The following is a 16,234-nucleotide window of genomic DNA, read 5'->3' on the forward strand; positions in this document are numbered from 1 at the left end:
AGGCTGGTCTCGAACTCCTGACCTCAGGTGATCCACCCTCCTCGGCCTCCCAAAGTGCTGGGATTACAAGCATAAGCCACCGCGACCGGCAATTTCTGCATTGTTACTTTTAAGTGACAAGTAAACATTGTATATATTTATGCTGTGAAATATGATGTATATACTGTGGTGCAGGGGAAGAAATTTCTAACCTCCCAGGTATCCTATCAGCTGGGAGGAAGCTGACCCCACAGCAGGAGGGAAAGAGGTAAGATTAGCACAGAACTCACAGTGCGGGTGGAACTCAGCAACACTGAGTCTCCCTTCCCTGTGCAATCCCATGAAGATCGGAGGAACCCTTGTGCGCCTTTGGGAAAGGGACTTCCTCCCTATAGGCAGGAGGGTAGCTGAGATGACCGCGAGCCAGTTAGAGGAATTTCGCTGCCTCCAGCCCCGCAGCCCGCCGCAGTGCCAAATAACAGACGGCAGAGGGCGCTCCTACCTAACCTTTCCCATGCCGCGGAGGGTGCGAGGACCGGAACTTTGCGAGCCGAGAAAGTTCTGATTTTTTTCCGCAGTGTTCTGATCTTTGCCCGCAGTGTACCGGGGATTGAGCTGGGGGCCGGGCTCGGGTAGGAATAGGGATGAGAGGGGCTCATAAGTAGACCCCCCCCCCTTTTTTTTTTGAGACGGAGTGTCACTCTGCCGCCAGGCTGGAATGCAGTGTGGCGCGATCTCGGCTCACTGCAACCTCTGCCTCCTGGGATTACAGGCGTGAGCCACCGCACACGGCCAGAGAACCCCCCCTTTTTTTTTTTGCTCCCCGCCAGCAGAGACATGGGGTGGTCCCTTCCTCAACCCCACGCCAAACCCAAACCCTGAAACAGTGTCCCGCACATCTGCCGGGTCCAAGTGAGAGTCCCCTAGCCACACCCCTGCAATTCCTTGCGGCCCTCTACTAAAGGCTCCGTTCCAAGAAGTGAGGGTGAGAGGTCGGGCGCGGTAGCTCACACCTGTAATGCGGCAGCTTTGGGAGGCCGTGAGTTATGATCATGTCACTGGACTCCAGCCTGAGTCAGAGTGACAGACAGAGACCCCTGTCTCTATTTTTAAAAAGAAGTCCGGGCACGGTGGCTCACGCCCGTAATCCCAGCATTTTGGGAGGCCGAGGTGGGAGGATCGCTTGAGCCCAGGAGTTCAAGACCAGCCTGAGCTATATAGTGAGACCTCGTCTATACTAAAAGTTAAAAAAAAATAGCCAAGCGTAGTGGTGCGCGTCTGAGTAGTACCAGCTACTCAGGAGGCTGAGATGGGAGGATCGCTTGAGCCTGGGAGGTGGAGACTGCAGTGAGCCGAAATAGCGCCATTGCACTCCAGTCTGGGCGATACAGTCTCAATAATAGTAATAATAATAATAATAATAAAGTGGGGGTGAAGCGTGTTCACTCAGGAGCTTGTAGTTTGGGAGTGGGACCGCGTCAGGATGGCTATCCGGGCTCCGGATGGGTGGGGAAAGGGGTGGCTTAAGGGCGGGCACTGCTGCTGAGCGTCAAGTACCGCTAGGTGGCGCTCGAAGCCCGCGTCACAGAGAAGCGGGGCCTTTCGAACACCTGTGCTCAAGAGGGGGCGGGCTTGGAGACCCGAGAGGGCTGCAGGAAGAAAGAGCCTGGACCCTAGGATCCTCCCTGAAACAGCGGGATGGCCTGGGTACATGGGGCCATTGGGCAGCCATCGTTCTCCGGAGGCTTAAAAGGGGCGAGGTGAAGAGGGGGGCAAAAGCGTGGCAGGCGCTGCGAGGGAGAGAGGAGGCATCCCCCGGCCTTCCCCAGGACCTGGAGGGGTGGGAGACTGTCGTCGGCACACCTGCCTCTCTGAATTTATGGATTCCGTTCTGAGGCTGCTAGGAGAAGAATTCGGGGTCTTAGAGGCCACATTTGGCCCAGGAGTCAAACATACAAGGGCACGCTCATCTGTTTTTCTCCCAGGATACGCGGGTCTGTGTATGAGCAGCTGCTCTGAGCTTGCGACTGGGAGGGCAGAGGGTGTAGACTCCCGCGTCCCGGGGCTCCCTTCCTCGCTCTTCCTTCGGACACCCACAGCAGCTGCTCCTGGGGAATCTGCCCCCAAGTTTCGAGGAACTGCCCCCCAGCGCCCAGGAGGAAAGGGGAATGGGGCTGTAAACGTGTCTAATTCAGACCCGTTATCCAGATCGGAATTAGTTTCTCGCGGACACCTCCGCGCCGCGGGCCATTCTCTGCCTGGGGCCTTTCTTGGACCGATCCATAGGGCCTCGACTGGCTTCCACGGCGCTTGCAAATTAGAGACTCTGATGCCTCAAATTTGTGGGGTCCTGCCTCCAGCTCATCCCCCTCTCCCGAGGCTTGGCCTAAAGGCACCATCCCTGCCACTCCTCACCCCCTGAATTCAGTCGGGGGCCTGTGTGGAGGGAAAGGAAAACCTGGAGAGACCAAGTGGCTGCACTGCCACCGCGCAGGCATGGATCCTGCCTGGCCGCCGTCTGGGAACTCGAGATCCGAGGAGGGGCAAAAGCCGCCGGCGCCGGGGTCAGGCCTGGTGGACCCGAGCTCCTTGGTGAGACCTGGACCCACCGTCTTCTCCTTCAAAAGCACAGGGTGGCAGCGGGGAAAGGATACGTTCCCATTGAAGGGGCGATGGAAAACTGGAATCAGAGACTGAAGGAGGCGGGGCATGGGACCCCGGAAGATGCCTCCCAGACGTTCCAGGCCTGCTTGCCCGGCTCCGGAGGTCTTAGCAGCATCCTCGGAGGTTGCCAAACACCTGGGAAGGGGGTAGGTGGAGCTTGAAAGGACTCTGGGTCTCTCTTTGGGAATGCAAAGTCCCCTCAACTCTCCTGGCCCTCCCATCCGCCCCCCACCCGCGCCAGCGTGTGGTAGCCCCGAGCCTAGCACGCTGAGATGTGGGAAGGTGTGGGTCTGCCCAGTGGGTGGCCCCGACAGAACGAATCCGAGGTCCTGGGAGGAATTGGGAGACGTGAAGAGTTGGGTATCTGCCGCCCCAAGGTGGGGCCATCCGCTTGGCAGTTTCGGCTCTGCGGGCGGCGCGGCCTCGCGCGGAATCTAGCCAGCCCCTGAGAGTCCCCGCCCCCTCCCCGAGGCCCAAGGTATTAGTGCTGCTTGATCAGACCTCATTTCCTGCGAAAATGGAAACATATCCAGGGTCCTTAATAAAGTGAATGACGAGGCTTCGGTGTAATTGGGCTTCCGTTTGGTGGCTATTTCCTTAAACTGAGAGTGGAAAAAAATGTAAACTCACAGCGCTCAGATGTAATTATATGATTATCAAAAGGAGTGCAGGATGGATTAGCCGAGCAACGACCTAGAGTCTGAGAAACGGGCAGGCACAAACGCTTACTCAGACCAAGGGACCCAGAAGTCCCGGACTTCCACACCAGCCCCGCATCCAAGCGCGCGCCTTTGAAACCTTCGGCCTCTCCTGCCAGCCAGAGACCCGCCCTGCCGTTGCCATCGGGACACGCGGGATCTTTATTTATACGCTGGGGTGGGTCTTTTCCTTCCTCGCAGAGGAGGAGCGTCCTCTAAGGCAAGGGGGGTGGGTGCTGGCTACGAGTCCCCTGACCGCCTGCCCGGCCCGCGTGCGCTGGCTGCATATTTCTATGCATAATCCAATTTTCTCCGTGACTATCTAGTTAAACTCTTTAACAACAGCTACATAATTAGAATTTGGATTCCCATTAATTTTCCTTGGGCCTCGAACCATTTGCAGCTCACACTGGTAATTAATGCGATACATCACTAACTTTACCCAGCGCAGGCCGGCCCGGCTCAGGTCGCTCGGCCAGCGCCTGGCGCCCTCGAGCGGGACCCTGACTCCTGACCCTGCTTCCCAGGTGGGAGCCGTTTTCCTCCTTCCAAAGCCAGATGCCTCGGGCCCGCGAACCAAAAGCCTTCTTTCCAGGAAATTTCACAATTAAAAATATTTATCGGGAGCAGATTTACGTTTCTGGGTTTCCAGTCTCGGGGCGTCTGGGTAGGCTATTAAGAGTAATTAGCATCTTTTGCGCATGCAGATTTACTTCGCTCATTGCCACATAACTCATCCCTAAAAGCCGGCGCAGGCGAAAGCAGGCGCCGCCGGCGGAGCCGCTGCCACAGCTACCGCCGCTGCCCGCCCGAGCCCCCCTCCCCTCCTGCGCTGCCCGCTCCCAGTCTCTCCGGCCCGAATTGTCCGCTCCAGGCCCCAGACGCTGAACACGGAACGAAAAGGCTTCCATCCTGGAGACCTGGAGACGAGTGACGCCAGAGCGACCTCGTGCGGTTGGGGAAGGCCCAGACTAGGCTCTCCAGGCTGGGGCCGCGCCGTCTGGACCCCAGGCATTGCGACCACGCATGTGTGTGCACCACCGAGTGGGCGCTTGTGTGTGTGCACGCTCACGTGCGCGCGAGTGCACAGGAGTATGGTTGCTAGTGCGCGTTCCTGAGAGGGCGAAGGGGCGCGTGGAAAACGAGCTGATCACCATCCTCCCCTTCCCTGCAGCCCACCGGTTCCCAGGACGACGCTCAAACGTCAGTCCTAGGCCACCCACCTAGGGCACTGAGTTTCAGAGGGAGACTCGGGCCCCTACCTTGCCTCGAATTCCCTTCTACAGAGCCAGTTCCATCCAGCCAAACGGCCTGGAGCACTCAGCGCCCAGCCGGGGGAACTGGGAGGCCCAACACCCGGCTGCAGCCGAGCGCATGGCTGGCCTGGTACCGGTGAGAGGCCGCCAGAGAAAGCGCAGGCGGAGCCGGGGGTCACTGAACAGAGACTTTCAGGGTCGCTGGGGGGCGGCTGGAGACGATGAGGCCACGCGACTGAAGGGATTGGGGGGTGAGGAGTGGTGGTGGGGGCGGACAAAGGGACAACGTGGCGGTGGACGAACCAGGGCCAGAGAGGGCCGCTGTGGCTCCCGCTCTTCGGGCCGAAGCACCCACCACGGGTTCGTTATTAACGCGCTGGGAAGTCCGCAATCCGCCCAACTTTCTTCTCTTTAATGAGCCTAGAAGAGGCTGCCCTGAAGGGGTTTGTTCATTAAAGATGTAGCTGGAGGAATATTGTCTCATTAATTATCTGGTTTTAATTACACTCCTACCCTTTGAATCCAGAGATGGGAAAAGTTGATTTGGTGGCGCCGCCCCCTTGAGCTTAAAGGGTCGGCCTGGCTAGGGGACCAGGAGGGGCTGCATGGGGACTGCTTGCTCCCGGGAGGGTGTGGGCAGGAGTCTGGTGTATATCCGGCCAAGAATCCCTTTGCGACGTGTCTCCATGCCTGGGTGTGTGTGTATGGACCTCCGTGTGTCTGCGTGTGTGTGACCACGTGCGGCTGAGAGGCCATGTAGACGTGACTTGGGTGTCTATGTGTGCTCCCTGCCTGTGTGTAGTTCTGTGTCTGGGTGTACATATGGGTAGCTGAGTGTGTCTATAGACAGGCCCGAGCAGGGGTCTAAGTGAACAGCAATGTGACTGGGTAACTGTGTCTGTGGTGTCTAAGACGGTGGCTTCCTGCCCGTCAGCTCAAGTGACAGTGACATCTCTGGGTCTCTGCATATATCCCCATGTAGATGAATGTTGTGGGGCGGGGTGGGGGTCCATGGCTGGGGCATCCCAGGAGCTGGACTACTCCAAGGACATGGCTCGGTTTCCAGGGTCCCCAGAGCTGGGACGCCGCCGGGAAACCATGGTCCTGGAGGGGAGGGAGTTATTTGAGGGGGTGCTTGTCCCTGCCTCGTCCCTTGTCAGGCCCCGCGCGGCGCTAAAGCGGGGGCCGTTTTCCCTTTAAATCGCGGACACTTTGACAGGGGACATTAAGGACCCGGCTGCTCAGGCTGAGCAGATCATAAAACCGGACAGGCAATTTCTGCTCCCGCCAAATAGCCGGGCAAACTCGTTCTGCATCTTTGGTTTTAATGCACTAAACTGGCAGCTAAGCAGGGAGCGAGCAAAAGGGGGGTGGGAAGCCCCCCCCCCCACATACACGGGCGCACACACCGGCACAGGCGCAAACACTCCTTCACACCTTTGGACCCCACACCCCGCCCCGGCCCTCCAACACCAGAGGAATTATCAACTAGAATTTGATTAATATGCAAATCGCAGGCAAACAGCTCCATATAATTCTTTCAGTGGAGAGTAATTAATCACCAGTTAAAGCAAATTAATACATATATCAATTTTGTCAGAAACATGCTTAGTTCAATCGCCCGTAAAATTGAAGTTTGAAGTATTAAGAGGCTCTGCAGAAACGCCAGGACTAAAACTTTCAAATTGATCCTATTTAGTAATCAATCAGGCTCTCCCCTCAGGTTAATCTGCCTAATTTTTCATCTCAAATCATACACTTTACTGACACGCCATCTAGCAAACAGTCGATAAAAAGTTAACAAAAATGATAACGACTCCAGCCAGAGCCATTGTGCAGGGCGGGTGGGCGGCCGCGGCTTTGATTGCATTTCGGGGTGGTTGGGGACTTGGTTTTTCACTGGGGCACCAGTTTGGAGGTTCCCCAGACAGTGGAAGCCTCCCTTTCCCACCAACTCTTGTCTGCTACTGGCTGCCCTCTCTGCAAATGGACTCTTCTCAGAACATCAGAACACGAGCAGCATTTCCACTGAAGTCACCTAAACCAGCTAGCCCCTGCCCTACTCCCATGTTTGCATAAACTGTCTGGAAGCCGGTGCCCTGTGTGCTTGTGGCAACTGTGAGCTGTGACTCTGTCACTTGCCTGTATTGTATGTATAAAGTGGGGATGGTGTATATGTTTAACAGCCAAGGTTTATCTGCTTAATTCTTATGTATGCTACTAGCTGCCCATATTTGGGCAGGTTTGCTGTGTCTTATGTGACTGCACTGTGTTTTCCAGGCATCCTGTGTGTCTGTGGGTCACTGTGGGTGTGTATCGGGTTTCTGCAGTGTTGGTCTGTGTAACTGAGTGCCTGCCTTGTGTGTGTTTGGTTTGTTTCTGAGGTGTGCCTGTGTTGGGTGTGGGCCTGTGGGCCTGTCTGGGCTTACCCTTCATTTCCATGTGGACATGCAGTCCCAGGGAGACCTCAGGCAGATGGATCAATAGGCCCCATTATAGACATCAGGAGAGAGGAGACAGTCCCTATAGAGACCCAGACACTTCACCTTGAACAGCCTCTGGGAGATGGAAGGGGTCACCTCTTCCCTACCTTGGTCCGTATCCCAGCTCTGGGTTGGCAGAGGTGTGTGAGAAAGGGGAGAAGAAGGCTCTCATTTCTTGTTGGAGGAGGCTCCCAACTTGGATCTCCCTTTCTGAAGAGCCTTGGGCCCCTGAATTTGGGAAGGGTTGGGGTACAGACACTCAGGGATGCCTCCATCCCATGTGCTCAGATGTCACGTCCACACTCAGATCCATTGGTTACATGGATACCCTCAGGTAACTAAGCTCCCTTCCCCACTTCATCCACCCCCATTCACAGACAAATAGCTACATCCAGCTCTCCATGGGGAAGCGTGAACATGCCCACATGCACACACCAATGCACAGCAATCCTTGCACACACTTGCACACATACAAACCAGATTCCAAAGTGGGCAGGACTCATTCACTCCCAACTCTGCTTGCAGCCATGCGCATATTGCCATTTGTACCCTCCCCACTTTGGGCAGGGCTGAGCCCCCACGGGGAGGAGGAACTTCCTTTGACTGAGCTGGGGGAAGCTAGGCCTTCAAGCGCTACCTGGAACTGGAGCAGCCAAGGGCAGGTCTACAGGTCACTCCAAAGACAAAGGTTCAGCCCGGTGACCAGCTTGAATGGGAGAAGGCAGGCAGGGCAGCCTGGCCATCACCCAACTGCACAACAGAGGATGCCCCTACCCCCGCAACCTGTTTTCAAAGAAGCAGAGTCCATGCCTATATAGTGCCTATTCGACGGCCTCAGCTGCCCTCAGAATAAACTTCAACCCAGGCTGAAAGTTCTCCATCCCATCTTCTACTTAGTCCTCTCCTGAGTCCTCTTCCTGTCAGGCCATGTGGTCCCTGCCCCCAGCATTGTAAATGTAAATTTCAGTAGCCAGCTTGGCTAAAATGTTTGGAGCTAGGATTCTGGTTGTCTGCCTGTAGCTTCAATTCCACATCAATATTCATTCTCCCAGCTATCTGCTCACACCAGCTCCCTGCACACCTCACACACCCTGGGCATCGTTTACCTGCTGGTTACACCCACTCAGTGACAGCTTTACTCTTTTCCTCTCCATTGAGCAAATTTAGTCACACCTAGCTGCACACACACTAGTTTGCAACAATCAGTTGCAGGAACGCAGCATCACACACCCAGTCCCACGCTCCGTTTCCATCAATCAGCCGCACATGCTCAGTTTCTCAGTTGCACATACTTGATGACACACTCAGGAACATGCCCTTGCTAGTCCCCATGCAGCCTGCCACACACACACCCACAGCCCCAAATCTCTCCCAGAACTGGCAGCTGTTAGGAGAAGACGGGGTGATTTGCAGATGGCAGTCCTGGACTTGGAAGTGCAGATGTGGGGCCCCAGGAACACTCAAGGTGGGAATGCTCCTCCCTCCAGGGTGCTGGTCCCCAGGAACCCCCACCTTCCTTTGCCCCAGTCCCAGGAGCCTGTTCTCTAGGAGATGTGGCCTGTGGACACACCCGGGAGTCAGATTCTAGGCTCTCCAAGACCTGTCAGTGTCTGCCAGGGACCTCCACTCCGCACATGTACAGTCCAGGGATGCAGCCAGTTCCCACACACCCCTTTGCACACCTACAGCCTAACCACCACTACCCAGCACAACCAGTTCTACTCCCCTCCATTCCCACCCACTTCAAAGCCACATGTACTTCACTTTACAACAGCAGCCTCCTACTCGCTGACCCCTGTGACTCCAGCCCATTCAGATTCTCTGTCCCTTCTTCCACATGCTTTGTAGCCCCTGACCTTACTAACCTGCCCCCTTATCTGGCTGCCCTCTCTATATCCCCGGGCTTTCTGTGGTGCCCTCTCAGATGCATGTGTTTGGGGAGCATATGTATTGTCCCCACAAATCACTTTCTGCGCTCCAAGAGGGGCTAGTTGTTGCCGGTGGGAAGCCAAGCCCAGGTGCCTCCGGGTTCAGGTGACTGGAAAAGCCAGGGCAGGGTGAGTGGACTTCCCCGGACTTGGCGGCTCAGAGGGATGGAGAGGTGGGGGGGGGGGTCCCCGCGGCGACGGGAAGGGGCGGAGGGTAGGCGCGCGGCCCCAGCTCGTCCCTTTCAGGGGGGACTCATGCATCAAACTTCAATTTTCCGGACGATTGAATTAGTGATTTTTTTTCTCCTGAACTAAAATACACTTAAGTCTTTGGGATTAATTACCACGTTCTGGTCCCTCAGACTGGAGTATTACTTATCGGAGCTGCGTCTGACACCGGCCCGACACCTCGTAAAATAGGGAACTGCGCCTCTCTGCCTCACCCCGCGCCGCTCGCCAGGCCACCAAGCCGGGAAAGGCGGAGCGAGGGGAAGCCGAACAAGCGGGATCGGCCGTCCGCGCGCGGAGGGGTTCCTAGACTGGAGAGCAGAAACTACCCGCGTCCCGGGACTTGGCAAGCCCCGTCGAGCCCCGGGACACAACGGGGAAGGGAGAGACAAAGCCGAGCCGCCTCTCCTGGCCAGCCCGGAACCGAAAGTGGGTCCGTAGAGAGCCCAGAGTCCTGGGGGAACAGATGGGCAAAGGGCTCTAGGAGGTGATGGAACTCAGGCCCGAAGGGCAGGCAGCCCACAGGATACCAAGCCTTAACGAACTACGCCAGAAGAATGGGCGTAGGGCCCACAGCCCCTCACACAACCCAGGCCAAGCTCCCTCGTACACTCAGACCAGGAGAAGAAACAGACACGCAATACACAAGCCCCGCTCCCTTGGAGCCTACACTTGGGCGAACACACCACTGCTGTTTGCAGTATCCCGAGACAGGCCCGGCAGGCGTGAGCTAAGAGGCCTCGGGCCCGAACTTGGGATTTGAGGCTCTCTCACATCGCCGGTCCCAGCGGCAGCGCCTGAGGCACAGCCAAGACCATCCGAGGTCCCCGGGCCGCGCGCAGGTAGCAGACTTCTTCAGAACTGGGGGAGCTAAAGAGAGAGTGGGCTTAGAGCCCAGGCCTCCCTGGATCCCAGATCCTCGCCTCCGCCTACAGCCAAGCCCCTCAGCTTTTGCCCAGAGCTGCTGACTTCCTCGCCGCCTCCCTGCGCAATGGGACCTAGAGATAAGCCCCAAGCCCGGGTGCTAGTCCAGGCAGAGTCGGGTGCTAGTCCAGGCAGAGTCCAGTGCTAGTCCGCGGCCTCAACAGAGCTGTCGGCTGGGCTCCGGAAGCCCACCCGGAACCTGATGGAGGCAGCGAATTCCTCAGAGCAGAGGACACTGCGGAGAGGCTCGAATCCACTTCCCACATTGTGCGGGACCGAGCGCGCAGGGCGCTCTCGCGTGGCCTCCTTAGCTCGGGTTCAGCCGAGGCTCTCACGTACACTTCGTTACCCCTTCCCCCCGCCGCAGCTCTGGTCCTTCCTTCCACTGGCTCTCTTCTCTGGCCTATGGAAACAACGAACTACTTTTCGCCTTTCAAGGCCCGGGTCCCAAGCCACCTCCTCTGTGAAGCCGCCAACACCCTGGTAGCTGCCTCTCAGTGTTTTGCAACTGGCACGGCCCTGTCCCTCGGTCCGCTTCTACTAGCGCTGGGGGTGCTGCGAGTCTTGCCCACTAGACTAGGAGCTCCTTGAGGGCAGGAACCGAATCTGATTCGTTTCCATTTTCCCAGCCCCCCTGCGCGGCCTGGCGCAGAAAAGACGCGCAATAAACATTTGCTGAATTGAATTGCGTTTTCTCCTTATTTTATTAATCCTTCCCCTTCCTTCTTTCATTCTTTCTTTTCCTCCTTCCTTCCTCCCTCGTTATTTTTTATTTCTTGGTTATATTCAATTGTCATGTTTTTCAGGCTCATTAAATCCATTTAGAGACAAAAGAATAAAAGGCAGAAGGGGAAGGGCGGGGGAGGAGAGAGGGGGAAGGGAGGGGAGGGGGCAGGCCGGAGAAGCAAACAAATAACCCGCTTTAACTAGACGGGCGGATAAATGGCCCCGTTTCTCCTCAGCCCCGACGCGCCTGCTTAGCTGCGCGCCCCGCGGGCGCCGCAGCTCGGGTGGGCTCAGCCCTGGGGCCGCCGCCCCCAGCCCAAAGGGACCCAGCGGGGCCAGGCCCAGGGCCGCGAAGCAGAGAGCGGCCGGAGGTGCCAGGGCCGCTTCATTGGGATTCATGAGCGTGTTGGGCGGGCGGCCTGGGGCTTCGGGCGCGGGGCGGGGGCCGAGTGGGGGGGTGCGCACGGCGGGCGCAGATGCCCGGGTGACCGACCCGCCGTGGTCCCTGCGCCGCCTTTGTGCCGAGGAGGCGCGCGCGGGGACCTAATCCATCAAATTGTCTACAAATTGTGAAGAAAATTCAAAAACCATATGGTCGCCAGCGCCGGCGCGCTCTGGGCTGCGGAGGGCCGCGGCCGTGCCCGCACCGGGAGCCGCGGGGGGCTGGGCCCGGCTATTGTCGCCTGTCAGCGGCCGCCCAGGCCCATTCGTCCCGGCCTTCATGGTCCGCGCTCCGAATTACAGACCCATCCATCCTAAGAGAGGGCAATTTTTGTCGCCCGGGAGGAACCAGCCGCACGCCTGCCCCGCTGCCCTGCCGTCTCCTTCCTTCTCTGCTCCTTCTCTCTCTTCTCCTCTCTTCCCATTCTTTTTTTCTCCCTCTGTCTCTGTCTCCCTTTCTCCGTTTCTCTGTTTCTCTCTCTTTTTCCTCTTTTTCTCCGTCCTGTCTCTGTGGCTCTCCGCTTTCTCTCTCTGCTTTTGGAGTGTCTTTCTGTGCTCCTATTTTTTTTTCCTGTTTCTCTCTGTCTCTTCGTTTCCTCCTGGACACGCACGTTCCTGGCTCGGGCCCGGGGGCCCCATCGCCGCCCGAGACCAGATGCGCATTTCTCACATCAATTTTGCGGAGAAAGAGAGCCCAGCGGCCCGGAGGCGGGACCCCACTCCGGTGACAGCGGCTACTCGCCAGCCCAGCGACAACAAAAGCCCGGAGAGAAACCCGCTCTGTCCAGGAAAGTGAAAGCGGCCTCAGCCCCCGCCCCAGCCGGCCTTGGGGCGCCGCAGACCCGAGAGAGTCCTTGCAAGATCCATACCTCTGCCCCCAGCGGTGTGCCGGGGTGTGGAGGCAGAATTGGTTAATGTTGCCAGAAATTCACACCAGCTCCCAGACGCTTGGGCTTACAGTTCCAGGTGCCCACATTGAAATTCAGCCTGGCCTTGATGCCTTTAGCCTTTGGCCCCCGACTCCCCAAGGATGAGGCCCTCGGGGCTAGAATCGAAACTTGGGAACCCAAGGCTCCACCCCGCGTCTGACTGAGTGATACCTGCAGCGCTCCCGGGGCTCAGCCCTGTTTTCGGGGAGTGCAGGGAGAATGCCCTTGGGTCTGGGGTGGGATGCAGGAAATGCAGGGCAAGACCCCCTCCCACCCTTTGTTCAACACAAATTAATGTTGTACTGTGGTGTGCCCCCACATACACAGGCATTTTCTCCCAGCATTTCACGGCTCGTTTTTTACCCCGACCTGGCGAAGCCCGCTTCTCTCCCGATTTAGCAGCTGCCTCAGGTTTATGGGCAAGAGGCGCCTCCTCCTGCTGCTTCCCCCTCGCCCTTCACTCTTAAGCCTGTCCTGAAAATCCCCCCCAAATCTCCAAGGCTAGGGCGACCGGCACGAAGAGCGGCAAGAAGCCCAGCCTGCCGCTGCTTCTCGGAAACGGGCCCACCACTCAGACACGGTCGCCGCCGGTTCTAGTAAAATGGCAAAGACTTTATTTATTGGAGAAAGAGGCCTTGGGTACAGTCTAGGGAGGAGAGGGGAAGGGAGGAGCAGGGAAGGGGCACTCGCAGCCCACTCACATCCAGCCACCCTCCTCTGGCCAAGTCGGGTAGGAGTGGGGTGTTCGAAGTGGCAAGAGAGACCCAGAGCTGTGGAGGAGGTGAGGTGAGGGCTTGGGTCGGCCTCCTCTCTGTCTCTGTCACATGCAAAAAAATTCTAAAAAGAGTACAAAATAATTATAGGGCTTTGGGTTCTGTTTTCGATAGTTGGTTGGTTGGATTTCCCCCTGCATTGTCCCTAAGAGCCGGACTCCAACAGTCAGTCCGAGGAAATGCGGGAGGGAGGGAGGAATCTTAAAAACAGCATTAGTGGGCATTAGGAGGCAGAAATGGCATCGAAAACAGACTTTTCTCTCAGAGGGTGGGGAGGAAAGATCGATTTTGAAACTTGCAAGTCAGGACCTGACTGCCCACCTCTTCCCCTCCCACATGAGGAAAAAAGGCCCGAGGAAATAGAAGTCAACTGCAATAAGGCCGAGGGAGGCGAGGAAGGAGCGGGCCGGTGCATTCGCCACATGCAGAGAAAAATCAAAACAGCCGGAGCTGCCACTCCCCTAGACCGCAGGGTTAGTGTTCCCCGCCCTGGTTTCTGTCTCGCCCTCAGCAAACCCGGCAGCCCGAGAGCTTTGAAAACATCGAAATCTCCGAGATTTAAAAAATAATAATAAAAGAAAGGAAAAATCAGGCTGCGGTGGGAAGAACCCGCTATATAGGTTTAAATATTTATATAGAAGCCATACAGAATTGCACGGCGAGGGCTTCCGGGGCGGCGGAGGCCGCTGGTGGCGGCCGGCCCGGCCGGCCAGCCTGGGTTTATTGCTTCGAGAGGGAAGAGGCGGCTGCCAGGAGCCGAGTCCGGGGCCGGGGACAGGGGAGGAGGCGGGAGTTGGCAGAGGAGGTCCCAGCTCCCCTCGGCGGTCCGGTCCGGGAGGCGTTGGGCTTTCGAGCGCTAGGAGCCCAGGGCGGCGGAAGACCCGGGGCGCCGCTCAATCGTCCACGTCGATCTCTTCGTCTTCCTCGTCCTCCGAGCAGTCCTGGCTGCTGGCCGGCTGGTCCGTGAGCGGAGAGGCAGGCGAGAGCTGCAGGGCGCCAGCGCCCGGGGCCTTCGGGGCGCCTGGGGGGAGGACCGGAGAGCCGGGCCTCGACTTGGCCCTGCCGCAGCCGCCGCCACCGCCGGCTGTGGCCTCCGAGTTCTGCTCGAGTTCGGCCAGCGCCACGATGTCCATCTGCCCGCTGGGGCCCAGTTTCTTGGCGGACTCTACGTCGGCCTTCATCTCCTCCAGGTCCCGCTTGAGCTTAGCGCGCCGATTCTGGAACCAGGTGATGACTTGCGCGTTGGTGAGGCCCAGCTGCTGCGCGATTTGGTCGCGATCGGCGGGGGACAGGTACTTCTGGTATAGAAAGCGCTTTTCCAATTCATAGATCTGGTGGTTGGTGAAGGCCGTGCGCGACTTTCGCCGCTTCTTAGGGGTCTGCCGCTGCCCAAAGATGGTCATACCGTCGCGGCCTGGGAGGAAAGGACAGTGTAGGCTCGCGTTGGGAGAGAGGAAGCCCACCCTGGCTCTCGCCCCCGTAACTCCGTAACCCACCCAGGCCTGTCCGGCCTGCAGTCTACCAATGTTCCCTTCTCAGATTTAATTCAGCCTCCAGGACCAGGGCAAGTCTTGGCTATGGCAAACCATCTCCTGTCTTTGGTCTCCCAGAAGTCCCTAGGAAAAATTGTTTTGGTCTCTGCCCCCTACCTAAGAGTTGGTTTGAAAGACCCAAAGTCTCTAAGGGTATGAGAAAGCCAGACAGAGACACCCTAATTGCGGTGTGAATGTTGGTTCTCCATCCCTTCCCAATCACTTCAACTCTACCCTACCCATAAGGTCCCCGGCAAAAGACTCTCGATTCCCCACGCCGAGTAGCCGGGCTAAGAGCGCCCAGGACACTGGGAACGCAAGGGAGCCCGGCAAAGCAAGCAGACTGCGGAAAGAGCTTGGCCACCCTTCTCCTGCCACCCCCCAGCTCTGGCCTACCCAGAGGTCCCTGGGAAATAAGGATTGGGTCCCGTCCCACATATCTTCACTCCCATAAGCAGCTGCTCAGGCTGGAAGGCCCTGGCGGCCGGAGAGGGCAGAGGCGAGCAGAGGCATAGGGGACGAAGCGCGCAGGGCACAGGGCGCGAGGCGCTGGGTGCAGGGGAACCCAGCAGCTGCGCCTACCTTCGGCTGCCTGCAGAACGCTGACCTCCAGCCCCTTAAACGTCTTGCTGGCGAGCTCCTCCAGCGCGCACAGCGGCGAGGTCTGCGAGAGCAGCGCGCGGCCCGCCAGGGGCAAGCCGCCCTGCGCGTGCTTGTCCGCGGCGGCCAGCAGGTGCGCCGCCCCGCACAGCGAGTAACTTCTCCGCACAGACGGCTTGTTGAGGATGTCCTCGATGCTGAACGGCGTCAGTGGCTTGTTGGAGTTGGCAGGCGGAGGCAGGTGGTCCAGCGGGCTGCGCCGCCGCTCCTCCCCCGGCGCCGCCTTGCCGTCCTCCTTGGAAGTCATCTCGGCCTTGTTCGGGGTCCCGGCCGGGGCGGCTCGGGCCGCGGGGACCCAGCCCGCGGGCAGCTCGGGCGCCGGACGGCGCGGGCAGGCAGCGGCGGGTGGAAAGGAGGCCGCACTGGGCAGGGCGCGGGCCGGGCGCGGGGCCGATTAGCGCGGCGGCTGAGGAGGGGAGAACAGCGCGGGGCCCCGGGAAGAGGGCGCTGACGCGGGCGCCGCTGCTGCTGGGGCTTCCAGCAATCCGGGGCCGGAGCCGGGGCGCGCTGCGCGGGGCTCCAGTTTCGCCAACCCCGGTGCTATTTAAAGGTGTCAGGTGGCTCGGCAGTGGCTCCTGGCCCCGGGTCCTGGCGGCCGCAGTTGGAAGAGCCGAGGCGAGGGCGCCGATCCCGGACTGCGAGGGAGGCGGAGAGACGGGGCAATTGACTATTGCTAACAAGTTAGCCTTGATCGCGGTGTAATCAATTATCTGCAGCGGCACTTCTTTCTCTTTCTCTCTCCTTTCTCCCTTTTTCCTCTCTTCTTTGCCTCTGTTCTCTCCTCCTGTTCTCGCTCTCCCTCCCTCCCTCTCTCTTCTCTCTTCTCTGCTCCCCCCTTCTCTCTCCTTCTCTCCCTCTCCCTCGCCCTCTCTTTCACTCTCTGTCTGTCCAATGCAGGCGGCTGTAAGTTGGGAAGCTCATTAATTAGCGGGCCGGGGGTAGGAGGAGCCGGCTGGAATTAGCCTGCCTAATGCGCCTGTCAGTCCGGGCGCTGCGCTGCGTTCGGCCCGAGC

At 58.4% G+C, this 16,234-nt stretch overlaps 1 protein-coding gene and 1 long non-coding RNA gene across 2 annotated transcripts, besides 7 other annotated features; one reads left to right on the plus strand and one right to left on the minus strand.

Annotated features, from left to right (window-relative positions):
• Positions 1,361 to 1,430: an enhancer, noted in NCBI's record as "active region_3908". NCBI's record gives its function as "activates an Ori minimal core promoter by ATAC-STARR-seq in GM12878 lymphoblastoid cells {active_cell/tissue: GM12878}" and the evidence as "EXISTENCE:reporter gene assay evidence [ECO:0000049][PMID:35858748]".
• Positions 1,441 to 1,490: an enhancer, noted in NCBI's record as "active region_3909". NCBI's record gives its function as "activates an Ori minimal core promoter by ATAC-STARR-seq in GM12878 lymphoblastoid cells {active_cell/tissue: GM12878}" and the evidence as "EXISTENCE:reporter gene assay evidence [ECO:0000049][PMID:35858748]".
• Positions 1,591 to 1,640: a silencer, noted in NCBI's record as "silent region_2719". NCBI's record gives its function as "represses an Ori minimal core promoter by ATAC-STARR-seq in GM12878 lymphoblastoid cells {active_cell/tissue: GM12878}" and the evidence as "EXISTENCE:reporter gene assay evidence [ECO:0000049][PMID:35858748]".
• Positions 3,341 to 3,932: an enhancer, noted in NCBI's record as "H3K27ac-H3K4me1 hESC enhancer chr10:102976445-102977036 (GRCh37/hg19 assembly coordinates)". NCBI's record gives its function as "activates a minimal SCP1, AML or CMV promoter by ChIP-STARR-seq in naive H9 embryonic stem cells {active_cell/tissue: H9 hESC(naive)}" and the evidence as "EXISTENCE:reporter gene assay evidence [ECO:0000049][PMID:30033119]".
• Positions 4,525 to 5,116: an enhancer, noted in NCBI's record as "H3K27ac-H3K4me1 hESC enhancer chr10:102977629-102978220 (GRCh37/hg19 assembly coordinates)". NCBI's record gives its function as "activates a minimal SCP1, AML or CMV promoter by ChIP-STARR-seq in naive H9 embryonic stem cells {active_cell/tissue: H9 hESC(naive)}" and the evidence as "EXISTENCE:reporter gene assay evidence [ECO:0000049][PMID:30033119]".
• On the plus strand, positions 9,005 to 10,845 carry LOC124902491 (uncharacterized). Its single transcript, XR_007062267.1, has 2 exons — positions 9,005 to 9,137; positions 9,371 to 10,845. It is a non-coding gene; the product is annotated as an uncharacterized LOC124902491 (long non-coding RNA).
• Positions 9,343 to 9,992: an enhancer, noted in NCBI's record as "H3K4me1 hESC enhancer chr10:102982447-102983096 (GRCh37/hg19 assembly coordinates)". NCBI's record gives its function as "activates a minimal SCP1, AML or CMV promoter by ChIP-STARR-seq in primed H9 embryonic stem cells {active_cell/tissue: H9 hESC(primed)}" and the evidence as "EXISTENCE:reporter gene assay evidence [ECO:0000049][PMID:30033119]".
• Positions 12,767 to 13,268: an enhancer, noted in NCBI's record as "H3K4me1 hESC enhancer chr10:102985871-102986372 (GRCh37/hg19 assembly coordinates)". NCBI's record gives its function as "activates a minimal SCP1, AML or CMV promoter by ChIP-STARR-seq in naive H9 embryonic stem cells {active_cell/tissue: H9 hESC(naive)}" and the evidence as "EXISTENCE:reporter gene assay evidence [ECO:0000049][PMID:30033119]".
• Positions 13,647 to 16,116, minus strand: LBX1 (ladybird homeobox 1). Its single transcript, NM_006562.5, has 2 exons — positions 15,144 to 16,116; positions 13,647 to 14,443 (listed from the first exon to the last, which is right to left on the minus strand). The coding sequence occupies exons 1-2, from the start codon at positions 15,466 to 15,468 to the stop codon at positions 13,923 to 13,925; spliced, it is 846 nt and encodes a 281-aa protein (NP_006553.2). The 5' UTR covers positions 15,469 to 16,116; the 3' UTR covers positions 13,647 to 13,922.

This window comes from Homo sapiens, chromosome 10, assembly GCF_000001405.40.
Source record: "Homo sapiens chromosome 10, GRCh38.p14 Primary Assembly".
NCBI classification, from domain to species: Eukaryota; Metazoa; Chordata; class Mammalia; order Primates; family Hominidae; genus Homo; species Homo sapiens.